Source organism: Homo sapiens, chromosome 4 (assembly GCF_000001405.40).
Source record: "Homo sapiens chromosome 4, GRCh38.p14 Primary Assembly".
Taxonomy (NCBI): Eukaryota; Metazoa; Chordata; class Mammalia; order Primates; family Hominidae; genus Homo; species Homo sapiens.
This window is the reverse complement of record NC_000004.12, coordinates 177,595,506-177,616,886: the sequence shown is the minus strand read 5'-3', so window position 1 is coordinate 177,616,886 and position 21,381 is coordinate 177,595,506. Positions and strand designations below refer to the sequence as shown.

The following is a 21,381-nucleotide window of genomic DNA, read 5'->3' as shown; positions in this document are numbered from 1 at the left end:
CTACGAAGGTCTTTCATGAATCATCTCTTAGAAATTGATGCTTCAAAAAGGGAGGTGGACTGTCTTTCAATTATCATCAGGCAATCAAATTTCACCCCTAAGACCACCACTATCACCACAATTGCCACCACACTACCTGTTATTTGAAAGGTTTAGTAGCCATTGAGGAGAGTTGTGAATTGTGAGAATTCTTGATGTCTCCTCCCCATAATGTCCTTCCTACATCAATTTTACAAAACTAAAGATAGCTGATTCATGTCTTTGGCACAAACACCTACCAAATCTGTAGCAGTTCATGTAGGGTTTAGCAAATTCACTTATTTTAATTATTCTTGCCTCTCTCTTCCTGTTTTTGTTTTATTTTGTCTCTTTGTTGTTGCTTTTGTTTTGATTGTTCTTTTGTTTTGATTTCTCCATTGCATATGCCCTATGAGTTTGTTAAACCTCTGTATCACTTATGCAATATTGCTTTTGTTTAATGTGATAATGTTATTTTGACCAAAATAACAGAAAACTGTGGGTCAGAATTCTACTTATCAAATATAAATAAATTTCTATTCACCAAATGTCTGATGCAGTGTTAGTCCTCAAAGATGCAGGGATAATCAAGAATCATCCCACCAACAAAGGACTTCATAGCTGAGTACCGCAGTTTGATCCATAGACAAGCCATTCTAACCACAGTGCAATGAGAAACCCACACACTGGGTGACAGTGCAGAAAGATTTGTCAAAACAAACTGAGAGAACACTTCCCGGAAAAGGTGATAGTTCAATAGAGTTTTAAAACATTGATAGATGAATAGGGGACATTAGCTATTTCAGCAAGAGAAAAAAAGAGTAGATAAAAGTCAAAGGTAAGAAAAAGCTGTAAGAATGTTTCTTACTATTGATTAATACACTGCAAACTTTTGATGCTTCTCCCTGAATTGTTTTTATCTACCACTCAATTTCAGTGTAAGACTACTCCCCCCAAAAAAGAAAGAAAAAATTAAAAAGGAAATTGTCCTCCTGTTGATGTAATAAGTCACAAATAAATAAAGTTATTATGTGTTACAAGATAGATAACGAAGTAGGTAGAAAACTTATAAATGTCAACTCTGGAAATATTCTGCCTTTACAACAATTAAATAATGTCACAAAACAAATACAAAATTATTTAAAAGGTTCATAGTTGTTTTGTTTTGTTTTTTCTAAAAACTAGTACCTTACCAAATCTCTTGTCCTACAAAGATAGCGAAGGATACATGTCTTGCTATTTCTCCTTGGAAGAGACATCTTGCTCGAATTTGATTTGTATATGAATGAAACATTCAATGTGCTAATTTTCTGGTTAATATTCCCCTTTGGCACGTACCAGCAAAGGATAATTGGCAGTAATGTGATTTAAACTTACTTGAATTTGTAGCTGTTAATTGAACCTTCACTTTTAGTAACTCTGCATCACAGCATAGAAATAAATTTATTCACAGAAGATGTTCCCAAATCTCCTTCTGAAGAGATAACCATCAGACTCGGAAAGTTTCAGTATCCTCCCTTCCATCTGGAATCAAGGGGATCAACTCTAAATAACTTCTAGTATTATCTTCTAATCTCACGAGTTGATGATTATGGAATGGGCTACTTACCTATTTATCTCTCAAAGAAAGGAGAGCGCAGAACAAGGCAAGAAGGAGTCATTAATCCAAGGAAGGGACTTTGAAATAATTTCAGTGAATGATGAACACAGTCAAGAGGTGATTTTAAATTGTAATGATGGAGAAAGGAATCAGCTGATGCAGATTTTAGAAGTTGTACCAGGAACAATAATGAGAAAAGAGGATACTTAATCACATTCACAAAAGAATTATAGGAATACATAATTAAAGCAATGATAATGAGTAATAAAACTCTTGGTGAGATATCTTTCAAATATCACTAGAAGTAGAGTACGAAGCAAAAAAGTCTTCTGTGTCAGTGATGTAGATTTTGCATGAAAGTTCGAGAAGACACTTGGTAAAGTGAGAAAAATTTTCCTAGAGCTAAATGTAAATGGACATTGGGTATGTGATAGAAGGGTTTAACAAATGCTTAGGGTGTACACTGTGCAAAGACACAAAGCAAAAAGAACAAGACAATTTAACATTTTAACATATTCTAAAAATAGGGGAGTAAAAACTAGGGTTTTATACATAAAGATGATGAAAAATTGCAAAAAGAAAAGCAAATGTCCTTGGAAAATGCAAATGTTAGCATGGTGAAACAACAGAAAAGATTTCAAGGATTGGAGAAAAAAAGGAGAATAGGTAAATTTGTAAATAGAAGCATTATTAGATGCATAAGCAGAATCATGACAATGAATGAAATACACTGCAGGAAATCATCCTGGCCAAGCGATAAGTTCTCTGAAACTAAAACTCAAATTTATATTACACAAAGGAAAGTGAGGACAAATTAAAAATAAGGTTTATAAGCATCCAGAGACCACATATAATGTACACAATAATTAGCAAAATGCTAAGGAAATAAAATTATAGACAAAATGATAGGCAGATAAAGAGCTGATTGTTACATATATAAGCATATGTATAATTAGTTACGTACATGTGTATATCAGTAAGACAATTTATTAATAATCATCCCTGATGGCCTATATGTATGTATGTGTATGTATTTTGAATCCTTCTTTGAATCAGTCTTAATGTCTTATTGGTTCTCTCATGAATCAGTAAGTCAAATAAAATATTCAGCATGTATTCTTTTTATATTTTTGTGAGAGTCATACTCATTCTTTTAAAATATTTTAGTTTATCTTTTGAACATCTATAATACATATTTCAGTATATACTATAAGGAGCAACACACAAGAAAAAAAAATGCCATGTCTGTACGTAGGTATGTATATATGTATGTATATAGAGAATATAATATTTTACATACATATATACACACATCGTATGACATTTAAATAAGAATTAAATAGTTACATAGCACTATTTATTAAACAATAGTACATAGCACTAACCAGCTGCTCTATACATTAATTCATTTAATTATTGCAATTACCCTATAAAGTAGATGTGAGGTACATACCACTAGGACCACATTTTAGAAATGGGGAAACAGAAAAACAATGAGCAAACATGATTACACAAACAAAGTGGCAAAGCTAAGATTCTGAACCCATGACATTTGGCTCCAATGGTGTCACTCTTAATCTTACCCAAAATTCTTTCTCACTTTCTGTTGTATAAAAATAGCTGTGCATAGGCATACAACATTCCCTTTAAAGGAAATTAACAAATATTTTTAAATAAATATATGAAAGAGGAAATCTAGAATGTTAGATCTTAAATTGTATTTTCTTTCCTCTCCCCAAAATGAATTAAGTGTGATTGCAGGCTTCACATAAATTTGAACACTGACAGCAAAGCAATTGCAAACAGCAGCTTAACAGGTGAGAGACTACTTAGTCAAACTCCATGCTTACAGGTAATCTAGACTTGATGAAGTTTACCCCAGCGCACTCAGAAACTACTGATTCAATCTCACTGCCATTACCTCCTATATTTAAAGACTCGTTGAGGAATCATAAGATCCCAGAAGTCTGAGCAAATACAAACATATTTACAAAAATAAATGAATAACATCTTTATTAGGAATTGCAGACTAGTAGACCCAAGGAAGGATCTGGAAGGATTCTGCAGCAACAAATAAAGGGATCAGTGCCCAGGACTTAACCAATTATGGGGTGATGAGAAGGAATAAATATATATTCATCAAAATAATAATTTGCTAAATTCCTCCTTCTTTGAAGCAAAAACAGACTTTGTAAATATGTTGGGGACTGTTGAGGAGGATAGGTGGGGTAAATATGGGTGAAATGTTTAACTCTAATCCTATTTCTAACATTTCCTCACATATCAGTTTCCCAGGAAAATGTTTTAATTTCACCTTCTTATGCTTGTATGACGAACATAACTGACCCTGGATTTGAGCAACCTGGAAGTATAGGAACCATGCCAATATACACTGTATTACAGTTGTGTCCATACTCAAACTTACGAGGAAAGTAACTTCTTAGATACAGAAATAGAAAATTGAAAAAATAAGCTCCAATTCTGTCTTTCCTGGTGCCACCTTAGCTCAGCCAATCTGGGCTTCTATTTCTAACTAAACAATGGATGTCTTTCCTCATTATTTTAAGTGAAATTGTTTTGTTGTTAATCACAACCATCCTTTTTTTCTTTTTCAGTTTCCTTCCCAGTTCCTTTTGCCCAGAGGCTTCAGTTTCACTCATTTTTTTTTTAATAAATCCAACATTTCTTGTTAAACAATGTGGCACATTTGCACATCAACTAAAGCTTCCACTCGGTTCTGAGGAGAAGGTGTGCTGGGACGGTCCCCTTCTAAAGCTAGTCTAGGACTGGAGGGGGAGGGAACTCAACAATGATACTGTTAATATCAATGTGCCTGGAGTAAATGATTAAAAGTCGGCCAACGAAAACTTCAGGAAACTGAAATCAGAGGTTGGTTTTTCTCTTCATCTCTAGGAATTCAGTTATATCCCATCTTTTTTGATGTATTGAAAGTTTTTTTAATGTATGTTTCCTGCTCCTGTTATCCATGAAACATGATATTTTTATTAACTTATTGATTTATGTCCTGTTGAGGACATTTCCAAAGTGACTGCTTATTGCTGCTTATCATCTTCAAATCCTGTTATTTATACTTTCTTGGACTTTGCTTTGGGAAAGGAAACAGCTGCTACAAATGAATAAAGTTAGCCTTAATGTCTCATTTATGATCCAATATTATTTATCTGTCAAACCCATCTATTTAAATCAGGTGATAGCTACCAAAGTTATCCAACAATGCAAGCAAAATGTCATTTGTGCTACTCACTAAGATTAAAGACTTCGAAAAGTCCTTTCTGAGATAAACACAGCTGATGGCTATGTGATTATTTGGTTTTCCCAAAGCACAGCAACAAATTAGGGTGGAGAGGTTAGGTAGAATATATTGACAAATGCAAAAAGTGACATCTGATGAGTGAGAATATAGACAGGAAAAAATTTATATATATATATATATATATATATATATGTAAAGATCATATGCACATACATTAAAAGGTAAAATATCCAAGGCTATTTAGTATTTATTAATAATTTGCTCTCTAGATGTTCTGCAAGTTATTCAAGACAACTTGAAATAAAAGATCAAGGCATACAGTGGGCATCTCACAGGTATACCATAAACCAGGCAGTGCAGAAACATCATATTAAAATAGGAAGAAGCAGAAGAAAGCAAACATACTGATGTGGTCAGTTACTGTGAATGGTATTAATATTACCTTCAAATGTTTTCAAAACCTGAATAAGAAAAATAATGTGAGAAATATAAGCCTCAAAATTTTTAAAAAGAAATAATAGTCAACATTTACAATGTTTTCTTACTATTATAAGTTATTTTCATATATTAATTTAGTCAAAGCTCAAGAAGTGCTTATGATTATAGCCCCGTTTTCTTTTTTAATTTTATTTTTTAGAGACCAATTCTCCCTGTGTTGCCCAAGCTGGTCTTCAGCTCCTGGGCTCAAGGGATTCTCCCACCTCAGCCTCCTGAGTAGCTGGGATTACAGAGGCACTAGACAATGTGCCCAGCTTAGCCCCATTTAAAAGATAAGAAAACTGAAGCACAGATATCCTAAACAAATCGCCTGAGGTCACTCAGAGGGTAACTGATGGAAACACGGTTCAAACCTGGATAGGCAGAGTTGTGAATTCATAATAATATGAATTCCTTAAGAGGGACAAAGCTTTTCTAAAAGAAGTTTATTAACTGAGTTCTTACATAAAGAACGCGCAGAAATATGTTGGTCACTTTTTTTAAATAGGGGATGCCTTTAAAATGTGTACCAGGATTTTTTTTGTTTAATGGCCTAAGAACCCAACAATAAAGCCTAACTCTGTGAGGCAATTTTGGTAGCAGGTAAGCTGATTTGTTCAGACATCTGTTCGACATATTTGACAAGTCACTGATAGGGAACACAAAATGAACAGGATCCCTGATCTCAAGAAGGCTGCAGGCCCTTACGGATCAAAACGAAGCAAACGAAAGGACACTGGAGTGCAATAGATGCTAGAATAAATGCAGATTTTACATATGCAATGAAAGAGGAGAGGTAAATTTACTCGGGGGTGGGTCAAGACAGGTTTTACTGAAAAGCGATGTATAATGTGCATAATAAAAGGTGAACTGGAATGCAAACAAAATTTAAAAGCAGGAAAAGAGGATCTAAGGAAATGTACTTAAGGCGATATAAAGTCTTTAAGAACTAGAAAACTATGTGTTTAGAGGCCTAAAGTTAGTGAAGTTTGGATACCTAATTTTCTTCTATTTTAATTCTATTTCAGTAGAAGCTTAAACTTTCATCAAATCCATATGGTGTGATTGTGGAAAGTACATGTTCTTCAACCATTCTTTAAACGTACTCCTTCAGAGTCCGTTGCAGTGGAGCCTACAGAACCGCCTTTTTTAATATGCTTCGTGGGTGGCTTTATGTGCAGGGACATTTGAGCATGATAGAGATCATTTTAGTTGAGAATGTTTTTGAGGTTTTACCAGGCTCTCACTTCAATCAAAGATCATCTCTTCTGTGGAATGCTGTATTAGATTTAGGGTAACATTGCCTCAACATTGCACCTAGAGAATTCAGTTAACACCAAAATATGCATGCATGTAATTGAACAAATTGGCCTGTTAAGTGCAATTTTTAATAATGATTATTTGCAATTATAATTTGGAGAACATCTGTAAAAACAAAACCAATAGTTTTAACATTGTATAATGGTATGCTGTTCTTTATGATAGTTATTAGATAGCATGGTCAGTTGAGTCGAAAGTTATCTCCTCTGTTCTGAGGACAAAGTCTCATCATTGGAGACATGTAATATCAAGATATGCATGTGGTTGTTCCTATGTTTTACTTGATCATTCAGCATTATTCTTTACCTGTGGTTGGACGCCAGCCTGGCATCAGCTTGTTGAGAGAGCACAAAAGAGAATCAAATTGAATTTTCATTGAAAATGATAGTACACTAGATTTTTTCTTTTAGAATCTGTTGTACCATGCAACAAAGTTCCAATAGAAAATAATTATAGATATGTATTTTTATTACCTTCAATAATCATAGTTGGATGAATGTTCAGATAGATCTCCCTCGTTGAAAATACTATGTAATAAAATTCAGGAGCAGAAAAGGGTGACTCTCCATAATTCTACAATGTTCTTCCACCTACTCCCCTTCACTCACAATTTTTCTGTATATTAGAAAAGCAGAGTGGCACTGGGGTGCTGCAGTCACTCAGACTGACTCAGGACAGGCAATAATGAAATATTTGACAATTTTGTAGCCGCTTTTTAAATCATTCGTAGCTTAAATTTAGCCACAGTGGGAGTACTTACATCACAAAAGTCAGCAGATGTGGCAAAGCACTAATTTTTTTTTTTTTTTTAATTTTACGAGCTGGTTTACCAGCACACCACAGCTATAGAATTGAAAAACAGGACTTCAAGTTTGGAGGACATAAGCTTAAATCCTTACTTTGCAATCACAACTTACATTAATTTAGATAACCTTTCTGAACTTCAGTTTAACTTTTCTCTGATAGAGATAAAGTTACTTACTTTGATAGAGAATTAAGTTGATATAAAATAACTTTTAGTTAAAGCACTTTATCATTTTTAAACTACACCTAATATATCATACTAGCCTTGTAAATTGTGCCCCTTGTGTTTTAATATAATAAATATTCTGTTGAAACTGAAATTGAAATTACCATGGCCCTTATTACCAATAATTTTTCAGATTAGAAAAAGATAATTCCCTCAAAGCATTCTTTAGAATGTCAGACTCCTTATGCAATTACAAAATAACACAGTCTGAAGAAAAATTATTCGAAGAGAAGTTTCAGTAGAGGCCACAAATTCAAACAACAAAATCTTGCCTTCAAACAAATGAAAGAATGACTAATTTTTTAAAGGTTAATTGCAAAGTAAATAACTGTCTTAGTCTGTGTTTTGCTGTTGTAACAGAATACTGCAGAGTGGATAATTTATGAAGAAAAGAAATTTATTTGGCACATGGTTCTGGATGCTAGGACATCCAAGAGCATGGCCCTGGCATCTGGTGAATGGCACCCCATGGCAGAAGGGTGGAAGGCACCCTTCCACAAGATAGAGAGATAAGTCCACCTTGCACTTTTATTAGGAGCCCACTCCTGTAATAACTGACCCACTGCTTCCATCGGGGCATTAACCTTTTCATGAAGGTGGAGCCCTCATAAGCTAATCACCTGTTAAAAGCCCCACCTCCCAATACTGTTACATTGGCAATTAAATTTAACATGTGTTTTGGTGGAGACATTCAAACCACAGCAGTAACCAATCATGAATACTTAATCTTTTTTATTTCTCCTAAGAAAGTGTATCTTCTTTACTCTATGATGTGATGAGTGGTTAAGCTGTCCTGTTATTTAAGTTCTTAAACTTAAATTTTAAATTTTCTTAAACATTAATTTTTAAGTTCTTAAATTTTTAAGAACTTGATAGTACATAGTGGTATTGATTTTTTTAAGTAGAAATTTGTGAAAAGTTCATGGATGCATACTGTAGCTCCATAACAGCAGAAAATATGTATGACTAGATATTAAAATATTGAATGTAATGTTATGAAAGAATCAAAGGTGTTTAAAGACACCTCCTTCCACACTGAGAAATCAATTAGCAGCACTGTCCAATAGAACTTTCTGCGATGATGGAAATGTTTTAGACCTATACCGTTCAATCGGGAAGCCAGCAGCCACAGGTGATTCTTGAGCACTTAAAATGGGAAAATGAGAAAACGAACTTTTTATTTTATTAAATTTAATGAATTTAAATTTAAACCTAAGTAGTTACATGTGGCTAGTGGCTACTATCCTAAAAGTATAGACTACACATCTTATATGTGTTCATACTTGTGTTTGTGTGTATAGCGATTGTTAGAAAGAATAAATGGAGTAAGCTATACTTGCAGCATTTATTTAAGAGGCTAAAAACCTCCCATATCTCCTCCTCATTTTAAAGCTATGTAAGAGTCATGAATCACATCTCCTGCGGCACCTGATTTTGTTTTTATGCTGTAAAACTGAAAAGAAATTACTTTTCAAGCTTGGTAAGGGGCTTACTGAAAGGTGACAGCGTGCTGGCAGCCCTCACAGCCCTCCCCTGCTCTCAGCACCTCCTCGGCCTTGGCGCCCACTCTGGCCACGCTTGAGAAGCCCTTCAGCCCACCGCTGCACCGCGGGAGCCCCTTTCTGGGCTAGCTGAGGCTGGAGCCAGCTCCCTCAGCTTGCCAGGAGGCGTGGAAGGAGAGGTGCGGGCCGTGACGCCAGGGTTGCCCGTGACGTTTGCGGGCCAGCGCCAGTTCCAGGTGGGTGTGGGCTCCGAGGCCCTGCACTCAGAGTGGTCAGCAGGCCCAGGCAGTGAGGGGCTTAGCACCCCGGCCAGCAAGCAGCTGCGGAGGGTGCACTGGGTCCCCCAGCAATGCCCGCCCACCAGCGCTGCGCTCGATTTCTCTCCTGGCCTTAGCTGCCTCCCCGGAGGGCAGGGCTCCGGACCTGCAGCCCGCCATGCCTGAGCACCCCCCACCCCCCCACCGTGGGCTCCTGTGCCGCCAGAGCCTCCCTGAGGAGTGCCGCCCCCTGTTCCGCCGTGGCGCCCAGTCCCATCAACCGCCCAAGGACTGAGGAGTGCCGGCACAAGGTGCGGGACTGGCAAGCAGCTCCACCTGTGGCCCTGGTGCGGGACCCAGTGGGTGAAGCCAGTTGGGCTCCTGAGTCTAGTGGGGGCTTAGAAAACCTTTATGTCTAGCTAAGGGATTGTAAATACACCAATCAGCACTCTGTATCTAGCTCAAGGTTTGTAAACACACCAATCAGCACCCTGTGTCTAGCTCAGGGTTTGTGTATGCACCAATCCGCCCTCTGTATCTAGCTAATCTGGTGGGGACTTGGAGAATCTTTATGTCTAGCTAAGGGATTGTGAATACACCAATCAGCACTCTGTATCTAGCTCAAGATTTGTAAATGCACAAATCAGCACTCTGTGTCTAGCTCAGGGTTTGTAAATACACCAGTCAGCACTCTGTATCTAGCTAATCTAGTGGGGAAGTGGAGAACTTTTGTGTCTAGCTCAGGGATTGTAAATGCACCAATCAGCACCCTGTCAAAACAGACCAATCAGCTCTCTGTAAAATAGACCAATCGACTCTCTGTAAAATGGACCAATTAGCAGGATGTGGGTGGGGCCAGATAAGAGAATAAAAGCAGGCTGCCCGAGCCCCCTGTAGCAATCTGGTGGCGTCCCGTTTTACAGTGTGGAAGGTTCCTTCTTTTGCTCTTTGCAATAAATCTTGCTACTGCTTACTTTTTGGGTCTATACTGCCATTATGGGCTGTAACACTCCCTGCAAAGGGCTGCAGCTTCCCTTCTGAAGCCAGTGAGACCATGAAGCCACTGGGAGGAACAAACAACTGCAGACGTGCCACCTAAAGAGCTGTAACACTCACCGCGAAGGTCTGCAGTTTCACTCCTGAGCCAGCAAGACCACGAACCCACCAGAAAGAAGAAACTCCAAACACATCCGAACATCAGAAGGAACAATCTCCGGACACGCTGCCTTTAAGAACTGTAACACTCACTGTGAGGGTCCTTGGCTTCATTCCTGAAGTTGGTGAGACCAAGAACCCACCAATTCTAGACACATTACTACATTTAATATTTGTTGTATAATTAATGGCCTTAGGTAAACGGTAAACATATAATGTTCTATTTTCTCAATATTTAAATAGTTGTGTCTCTAAAAAAAAGTAATGTAAAATCTATTTCAGAAGCCAGTGTAAGAAACCATTTTAAACTCTCCTGTTTGTAACTTACTTTCTTTTTACCATTTAATAAATAGAAGTTATTTCTTCTTTAACTCCAGTCTTTTGACTCCTTCATGTTATTCATAGTAGATACCATTTTTAAACTAAAATGAATACAATCTATCACAGAATTTTTAGTGTAATAATTCAGTTTTTCTTTTTACACTATCAGCTGAAGATGAGTAAATACCTTTATTTCTTTTGTATTCACCAAAATAATGTGTTTACCCTAAATGACTTGTAACAAGGTGCAAGATACCTAAATAAATGCATTATTTAAAAATCTTGACATCTGTTAAAAAATAGAACATTTTTTAAAAATCAAATGTCAATATGTTAAGAGAAATGAGGTTATCAAGGTTCAATATATGATGGTTTTTTTCTTCCTTGACATTTAACCCATCATATTAAAAGCTTCTTCAAAGGAAAGAAATATCAGCTTGTCACCTGGAGATTGAAATTGAGCTGCTCTAAGACAAACTGCTGTTCCTTCCCTATGATGAAATTCATAGGATGGACAAAAATGTCAGGATAAAAATAGGCCACCTGGGAAAAAAAGCCATCAGGAGAAGAACTGTAGCTATTGTTATAATTACAACTAAAAATCATTTAAAAGCCAGTTATTTTTCCCTAGTAGCACATGAAAGAACGTCTAACACATTGATTTATATTGTTAAATACTTAGGTGAGAAGAAACTGTGATAAGACTATGCTTATGGCAGTCTGTGGATTTAATGTTAATAAAAGATGAATCATGGATAACATGGTATTTTAAAGAATGGCAAATATTTTAATTCATAATATACAAAGGACATACCACAAGCTGGCATTTTCAAACTCCAGGATAACAAAAAGGAATATCTATATCAATATTAAATACCATGCAAGATATTGAGAGGTTGGATGCCAAAATATACATATCTTATTAGGAAAATCTCCAAAAATGTAAGAGTGACAGAACACTAAATAAATCTAATGAGAATTAATAACTTGCATTTTCCCATAATGTAAAACTTATCTTGAATAAGCACTTAGAAAATATTATTACTCCTAAAAAGTATTCCCCCAAAAAACTGAATACTGTTAAATATCAGCTTTTTCTCCTTCTGTGAAATGGAAGAACATGAATTTGTGAAGGTTTCATTAAATTTAAATACTGTTAGCTACTGCTCACTCCATATTATTAATTGCTCAGTTTTGAATGTTACATGCTAAGAAAACTATTAGCTACTCTTATGGATACTTTATCATGTAAGACATATTACATGCTTATCTAATGAGATTTTAATCCTTGGGAAGTCAATACAGGAATCAGTCATATTGGATTTTACTTAACAATTTTAACATCACTTTTTAAAAAAACATTTTTAATTATTTAGGAAAAATTATATAGGATACCTAACTTTAACTTTATTCTACACTGCTTTTCCAATCAATATTTCTCCTATAGACAAATAATGCAAGGAGAGAAGTTCAAATGATGTATGGGCCAAAATCCAGTCTGACTTTGAAGAAAATAAATAACCCTCAAAGTGTAGTACACCTGGTACCTGAGATTGGCAAAACAGTCCTTAATTTTATAAATGTGTTGAATCTGAATGTCAACAGAAAAACAGGGAGTGTGGGGAGGGAGTGCTTAATGGATTGTTTTGGATTGTCCATAAAATATGTTACAGAAAGTCACCAACTCCTCAGAAACAAATTAGTTTCATGCAGTGAAAATATTGGCAAGTAATAGAACAAAATGGCACACTTGAAGTTGACAGAAATGTTTTACATACTCATTGTGTATTGGATAGCATTGTAAAAACACACAAATTGCCTTCACCATACATTATCAATTCCATATTCAAAAATGCCTAATATTTTAAATCTTCACATACAGAAAATGTGAAGAAACAATGCTCAACAGTCTACTGTTTGTAAAGGGATTTCCTAAAAAGAGATTGATAGTAGAATAGGACCTGTCTGCATGATCAATTTTCCTGTGCATTAAAATAAAATTTCATTTAATTTTTACCCCTTGGTATTTGATTTTTTACCACAGGTCCAAATAACTGAATTAAACATTTCACATAAATCATGATACATGTTCACCATCAGTCTTAAAGGTCCCATTTTGTTTTATTTTATTTTATTATATATTTTATCTTATATTTCTCACCTTCCTCCCTGAGTCCTACCCCCATTCATCTATCAATGGAATAAATGCTTGATTTCATGTTTTTGGTTTTTTTTTCAGTATGAGAATTTTTTCTAAAACAAGGATAATGTTTTGTGAAGGTACTTGTAATTATTACTATGCTATCAATATTCTCTTTTCTATTTATTTAGTCAACATGAAGTTTTTAAGATCAGACATGTTGATTATGAATACCATTGACGTGGTTTGACTCTGTGTGCCCACCCAAATCTCACCTTGAATTGTAATAATCTCCAGGTGTCAAGGGTGGGGCCAGGCAGAGATAATTGAATCATGGGGGCTATTCCCCCTTACTGTTCTCATGATAATGAATGAGTTCTCACAAGATCTGATGGTTTTATAAGCATCTGGCATTTCCCCTGCTGGTACATTCTGTCTTTGCCTGCCACTATCCACGTAAGATGTGACTTACTCCTCCTTGCTTTACGCCATGATTGTTAGGCCTCTCCAGCCATGTGGAACTGTAAGCCCAATTAAACCTCTTTGTTTTGTAAATTTCCCAGTCTCAGGTATGTTTTTATCAGTAGCATGAAAACAGACTACTACAACCATAGTGTGTAATCAACACATTTTGCTTTTATTCATTCCCCTAATAATAATAGCTATGTTGCCTCCAATTACCTATTTCCACAAAACATGTCCCTGCTTGGAATGGGGGCAAGATTTTTCCAGAATAAAATAACAAAGATCACATTGTTGAGTAGTACGATATAAGCATTTGTAAATCCACCATGTAATTTCCTCCAGAAAGGCTGCACCACTCTATGTTCCCATAAGCTATGGATGACAAGCATCAATTCTCCATATTCTTATCAACACAGCTTCTTTTCCATTTGGGGACTCCAATAACTGTGAAGTAGTATTTTATTTTATTTTGCATTTATCTGATTACTAATGTGGTTGCACATCTATACACATAATTTTCAGTCATTTTGTGCCATTTATATCCTTTGCCAATTTCCTTACTAATTTTTTCATCTTTTTGGTTACTTGGAAGACATTCTTTGTATAGTTTTAATATTAAACCCTTTGCAAATATCTTCTCCCAATCTGTCGTCCATCTGTTAATATTTTTTGTAATATTCATTGCTGGAAAAATATCCTGAATTTTTATGTTGATAAATCCATTGCAGTTAAATCCATATACATTGTGCTTTTAAGGTTCTGTAATGAAGTCTCCATAGCCCCATTATTTTTTATGGTTTTACTATTTGCATTTAAATCATTAATCAATCAGCAGTCCTCCTTTGTATATGCTATGAAATAGAAGGCCAATTTTATTTTTATACTTTGTAAGTCTGTTTTCCCAAAACAATTTATGAACCATTCAACCTTTTGCCACTGAACATGATACCACTTTCATCTTTATCTAGTTCCCAGATCAAGGGGTCTGCTCTTGAACTCTATTTTGTTACATTAATATTTTCACTCTTTATTTCCTATATTATTATTACTTAGGCTTTGTAATACATTTATATATCACTAAGAAGATATCCTGTTTCTCTTCTGTCAGCTGACTTTTTCACAGATATTTTTGTATCTGTGTATTTTGTATATACGTATATACGTTCAGTTCCTCAAAGGTACTACTGAATCTTTATTGAAATTACATTGAACTTATACATTTATTTTGGAATAAAAACTTTTATATTTTTAAATAAAGACATAATAGATTTCCACATTTATTTAGGTCTTCCTTAATTTCCTTTATTACAATTTTAAAATTTCTATTATAAAGGTTTATAGATTTCTTTCCAAGGTTAATTTCTAAATACTTTTAAAATTTTGTTGCTATTGTTTTATATTACATTATTTTTTGTTTTGGTTGGCATTACTTACTTAAATGAATGCTGAAGAATTGAGAAAGTTGACCTCATGTTTAGCAAACTTGTTCAGTTCTCTTATTAACACTCATTCTTTGTTAATTCTACTAGGATTTCATGCAGATCATATCTCTGTAATCATAGAGTTATAATGTTTTATTTTTTTCTCAAAATTTTCAAAATCCATATTTCTTTTACATGAATTCCAAAGAATTAGCCCTAATCTCAAGTGATTTATTGAAATCCAATAATTAAAATTGGACATTTGTTTTGCTCCCAATTTAAGATAATGTATCTAATCTTTAAATGTGATATTTGATGTATATGCATCAATTATTTATATTTACATTATATTTTGGTATAAGCTTTTAACACATTAAGGAAGTTTCCATTCAATTTTATGAGAATTTAAAAAATACATAATATGGTAGAAATTCAACTTTATAAGTTGTTTGTTTCAATTTTTAAAATAAATAATGAGCTTTATAAAATTCTTATTCAGCATCTATCAAGATATTTATGTGATTTTTACTGTTAATGAGTGAATTAGAACATTGAAAACTTTTACAAAGTGAAAATATTCTTCTATTCTTCTATTTATCATAAAGTACCTTTTAATATACTTTTGGATTTAGTAAGCTAAAAATGGTATGCTCACATGGAATTATTTCCATTATGTGTATGACGAAGTCCTAGGAAATGTATGTCAACCACTCCCATAGCCTATAGAAAGCTAGACTCACCCAGCAACACGTGCACACATATGACCTTAGCAGATCACTGGCCTCCAGCTGGTAAAAGAGTTAGAGAAGCTGACCTAGGCTGCAGATAGAGGAGGTGATTTATTTTAGGAGAAAGTTGTTGGTCTGCTCTAAGTCTCAATTTCCCGACTGGGAAGAAGTTAGGAGAGTTTTAAGCCTAGAAAAAGGGCCTCCTGGAGCCCTGGATATTTAGGAAAACTGTTACCCAGGGTCTGACAAAGGCCTATGAAATAAAGGCAAGAGGCCATGGTAATAACAAGAAAGTACTGTGCAGAGAAAGCACAAGCAGCCCTGGAACCAGCTAGAATTCCCTCATCAGCAGGGGCAACAGCATGCAGGTGGTTCTCATCAACCAGCGAGTGGTTACCTGAAAATAAAAATTTGCCTAAGAAATTTTAAATCATGCCAAAGGACCAAGCAACCCCAACAGGAGGCTGGACCATCCATTGTCAAGGGGCTTAGGGAGAGATTATCACCTGCTTCCTGGGAAGTGTAATCACATTTTCCAACAGACACCTTCAAAGGATTCAAAAAAGTACCTGCGGCCCGGTGCAGTGGCTCACACCTGTAATCCTAGCACTTTGGGAGGCTGAGGCAGGCAGATCATCTGAGGTCAGGAGTTCAAGATGAGCCTGGCCAACATGGCGAAACCTGTCTCACCGAAAAATACAAAATTAGCAGGGCGTGGTGGCGGGCACCTGTAATCCTAGCTACTTGGAAGGCTGAGGCAGGAGAATCGCTTGAACCCAGGAGGAGGAGGTTGCAGTGAGCTGAGATAGCACCACTGCACTCCAGCCTGGGCGACAAGAGTGAGACTCCGTCTGAAAAAAAAAAAAAAAAAAAAGCATTTGCATCAAAGAATGAGTAAAGTATACACTGCCTCCAGGGCCAGAGGAAATAAATATAAAGAAGAAAACTTAAATCAATCCCTGGGGAAAAAATTGTCTTAACATTAGGTAAGTGTGTCAGCATCCAATTTTTTCTATAGATACCTGTATGTGTGGGGTTTTTTTAATTACTATTAGAGAAAACACATATAATAGATTATATAGAAAGAATATAGAGAGAACATGTAATATATATAATAAACTTGAGTTTATATTCTTTATGAAGTACAGAATGCTGTACATTTTACTCAGAACTCTATCATAGGTGTTTTACTTGTTAGTATTTTATCTAAAACCTGTATAACATTTAAATTGACTGAATAAGAGTTGTCAGGTTAAAAGCAGAGAGTGACCATTTTTTTTTCCTCACTACTGCTCTTTCTAATTTTGAACTGTCCTTATTTATCCCCAGATGAAATATTAGGCCGATCTGACATTTTTTTCTAGTTAGTTATTAAGAAGAACTCTCATTTTTCAGGGGTATAAAAGTTCCTTTCTGCCTAATATCTGAGTATCAACCTCTCATCCAATTTAAAACTTTTCTCATCGTCTTCTCCCCAGTCTCAAACAACTGGGAACAGACAGGCAAATTCTTATTTCCTCTCCCACAGATTCCTTGGCGACCTTCTGTCGCTGGGATCTCTCTCTCACCTGTAGTTCCTATCAGAGACACAATGCCTTCTCCAAAGCATTAACACACGCCCGCCCCTTTTTACTGGCAGTCCACCTGATATTGTTTGGCTCTATGTCCCCACCCAAATATCATCTTGAATTGTACTCCCATAATTCCCGCGTGTTCTGGGAGGGACGTGGTGGGAGATGGTTGGATTGTGGGGGTGGGTTCTCCCATGCTGTCCTCGTGGTAGTGAATAAGTCTCGTGAGATCTGCTGGTTTGATAAGGGGAAATCTGTTTCACTTGGCTCTCATTCTTTGTGTCTTTGCCTGCCGCCATCCACGTTAAGATGTGACTTGCTCCTCCTCACCTTCCGCCATGATTGTGAGGCTTCCCCAGCCGTGCGGAAATGTAAGTGCAATTCAACCTCTTCTTTCTCTTGTAAATCGCCTAGTCTTGGGTATGTCTTCATCAGCAGCATCAAAACAAACTAACACACCACCCCACGCTGACTCTTCTATTAGTACAGTTTCCCAGGTGGGGGCTATTAGTACAGTTTCCCAGGTGGGGGCTTTTGACAGTGTCCTGTTCAAAATCAAGTCCCTCAAGTCCAGCTCCTTTCTATTTATGTGTTATAGGTCTGGCCTAGGGCATCTTCGCCCCAACATCAGTGGGTGGGTTGCAGTGTCTCACTCTTGCCATCTCTCCTCTTGCTCTGCCAGCGATAATAAAACCTTGAGACTTTTTTATATCTGAGTCAGGTGCCAACTGTGTGTCTACAGAAGCACGAAGCATACGCATCAAGATTCCTTAGTGCTTTTCCAAAAGCTCTCCTCACGTAGCTTCAAAAGAAATACTCAACTTTCCTAAAACTCTTTGTCCACGGAAATTCCCATTTTTAAAATGTCTTCTAATGAATTCATTCATTTTTATGTACATACATCATATATAAAATGCATCTAAGAATTCATTAAAGGTGTACGATGGTCTAGTGGTGCAGAGTTTCAGGACGTCCCTTTTGCAAGTAATTCATGGATGATCTAAAACTCCATTTGAGAATAAGGTAGCACTTGGCCTCTACAAAACTTTGCCTCTATTTTGGTGCTTCAGCAAAAACTATAAAAACAAATACTTGTTAAGCTCTTTAGATGTGATGTTTAAAATTGTTCAATACATAAATTCATTAAATGTATCACTGTTTATTTTCTCCATGCCCTTGTACAATGGAGGTTGTCTTTATATGCTTTGTACTCATTCTTTTATATAACAATTGTATATTGTTTATTATGCAACAGTCACTGTACTACGAACTAGAATGGTAGTAGAAGATAAAGCTGAAAGGCCCTATGCTTATGCAATTTACATTCCAGTAAGGGAGGTTGACTTAAATAAATAAACAAATAAGTAGTTTTCTGTTAGGTAAATACTCTGACAAAACTAGATAGACTGATAGGAGTAACGACTGTATAAAGTATAGTTAGAAAAGGACAATGCATTGACATTTAAGCTGTTGTTTTTAAAAAGTGACAGAGGCCAGGCGCGGCGGCTCACGCCTGTAATCCCAGCACTTTGGGAGGTGAGGCTGAGGCAGGTGGATCACGAGGTCAGGAGATTGAGACCATCCTGGCTAACCCGGTGAAACCCCGTATCTACTAAAAAAAAAAAAAACTAAAAAAAATTAGCCGGGCATGGTGGCACCTGCCTGTAGTCCCAGCTACTGGGGAGGCTGAGGCAGGAGAATCGCTTGAACCCAGGAGGCAGAGGTTGCAGTGAGCCAAGATCGCACCACTGCACTCTACCTGGGCAACAGAGCGACACTCTATCTCAAAAAAAAAAAAAAAAAAAAGTGACAGAATGAGGCACGTATATACTATGGAAAAAGCATTCTCGACAAAAGAAAAGCTAATGCAAGAGCTCTGCAAAGAGGCATGTTGTCTTGTTCAAGGAACAGAGGACTGTCAATGTACTTTTGAATATAAACGACAAATCTAGAGGTAAAGCTTCTAAGTCACAATCTCCTTTTTCTTATGATCAATTTTCTTAATTGATAAAAGTCACATCTCAATCTGCACCTGGAGGGCAAAATAACAAACACTCTTTTTAGGGCTTTTTTGTTGTTGTCTGCCAGCATTTATTTAATGAAATTTTGCTAGAAATAGGCAAGACTGCCACCTTCTCAATTGTCCATCTCTAGAAAACCTTGAAACAATTAGAATGCATCCAAACAAAAATAATTATGTAAGTTACCAGGTTTAAGGATTAAATTTTCTAGACTCTTGCCCATTGAGGTAGGAGGTGGTACTCGACTCTGGAGCAGGGACTCGGAAACTGGACCAGATTGAGGACTAGTTAAAAGGTCCAGGGCATCTGGGGCAAAAGCAACATTACGTAAGATATGCCCACCAGTGTGCTACATCAGTTTACCATTGCCATGGCAACACCCGGAAGTTACCACCCCTTTCCATGGCAGTGACCCAACGACCTGGAAGTTACCATCCTTTTCCTAGAAATTTCTGCATCATCCTGCCTTAATTTGCATGTAGTTAAAAGTGGGTATAAATATGACTACAGAAGTGGCTCTCAGCCACTACTCTGAGTTCACTGTCTATGGGGTGGCCCTGTTCCACAAGGAGAAATACCTCTGCCGCTGCTGTACGCTGCTGCTTCAATAAAAGTTGCTGTCTAACACCACTGGCTCCCCCTTGAATTCTTTCCTGGGTGAAGCCAATAACCCTCGTGGGCTAAACCCCAGTTTCCGGGGGTCGCCTGCCCTGCATCACTGTCGAGTTACTCAAATGCAAATGAATGTATTTAAGTAAGAGATTAAACCATAGACTTTAGATTGTCTTTGATTATTAGCATTGTAATTTTCTCTAGGTGTGTGTGTGTGTAAACTTCATTCAATATTTATAGTGTCTCATTTTAATAAACAGTTTCTTAGGATATAATTTTTTAAGGTTATAAATAATTTTTGCCCCGCATGAGCTCATAGTCACTTGGGGAGAAGAGAAAACAAACTGCAGATCATCGAGCTGCAGAGAGGCTGTGCTAAAAGTGTGGAGAAGATGCCATCGGTGTAATGTGGTAGTCTTAAAGACGGTACCAAATTCTTTTACCTTCCTCCCATGAAGAGGTTCCATTTCCGTCCCCTCTTTCCGAATTTGAGCAGGCTTGTGACTGTTTTGACCTGTAGATAACAGAAGAAGTGATGCTATGTGACTTCCAAAGCAAGATCCTGAGGCATAAGGTTTCTATCCGGCTTTCTGGAATCTCTACTATCTGGATGTTCCCTCTCAGAACACAGGCCCTGGGAGCCAGCAGCTGTACTGTGAGAATGCCAAGCCTCCTGGGAAGAGGACAAGTAAGTGCTCTGATGACAGTCCCCGCTGAGCCTGCCAGTCACCCCAGCCCAAGAACCCAACTCGCAGATGGAGAAACCTGCAGATGACTCACAAGTGTGAGTCACCTCCAGCCAGTCAAGGCTTTCCAGGGTAGGCCCTGACATTCAGCAGAGAAAACCACGCCTGCAATGTGCCTTTATTTCTGATCCACAGAAAGTCTAAGCATAATAAAATGATTGACATTTTGTCACTAAGTTTGGGCTGGTTTGTCACGTCGCAATAGGTAAATGGAATAAAATAGATAGTGATCATATATTTCAGAATTTTCAGATGGCCTTTATTTCAAATATTCAGTAACTTTAAATCCTTCAAGGTCCTTTAGATGATCAGATATTGGCCTAAAGCTTTCTTCTGATAAGAGCAGTCCTTAGACCACTTTTTCTGGCTGGGCAAGTTGAGGAAGGCTTCAAAGAGGAGGTAATGTTTGTCAATATTATTGAAAAATTGCCAGATCCATTTCATGCATTCATGAAATAAACACCACTATTCGGGGCCAATACCTAGAAGCCTTTAATGCTTTGAAAAGCACCTAAAAATCATTTCTCAATTGCATATTATTTGATCTTCAGTTTTGTCATCTGCCTGCACTTGGTACAAATTCTGTGTCATTCTAGAGGTAATTTTGCAAGGCAAGCCAGTCAGTATTGTGACAGCAGATGATGGAAAAAGGAATGCTGCCTTCTTTTGTCCCTGCAAAGAATAAGAGGGAAGGGGAGCGGGTGGGGGCACATGCAAGGATTC

General features: G+C 36.7%; 1 long non-coding RNA gene across 18 annotated transcripts in view; it reads right to left on the bottom strand.

The window, feature by feature from the left end:
- AGA-DT (AGA divergent transcript) overlaps positions 1–21,381 on the bottom strand; it is a 255,397-nt gene that overhangs the window by 81,024 nt on the left and 152,992 nt on the right. For 9 of the 18 annotated variants that reach the window (NR_183786.1, NR_183777.1, NR_183778.1 and 6 more), the window contains one exon: positions 20,356–20,426. The exons of 5 other annotated variants lie outside the window; for them this stretch is intronic. This is a non-coding gene — a long non-coding RNA (AGA divergent transcript). Of the gene's footprint in view, positions 1–11,718; positions 20,427–21,381 lie in introns of those variants that run through there. 4 more of the 18 variants (NR_183793.1, NR_183792.1, NR_183794.1 and 1 more) reach the window with 2 other exon arrangements.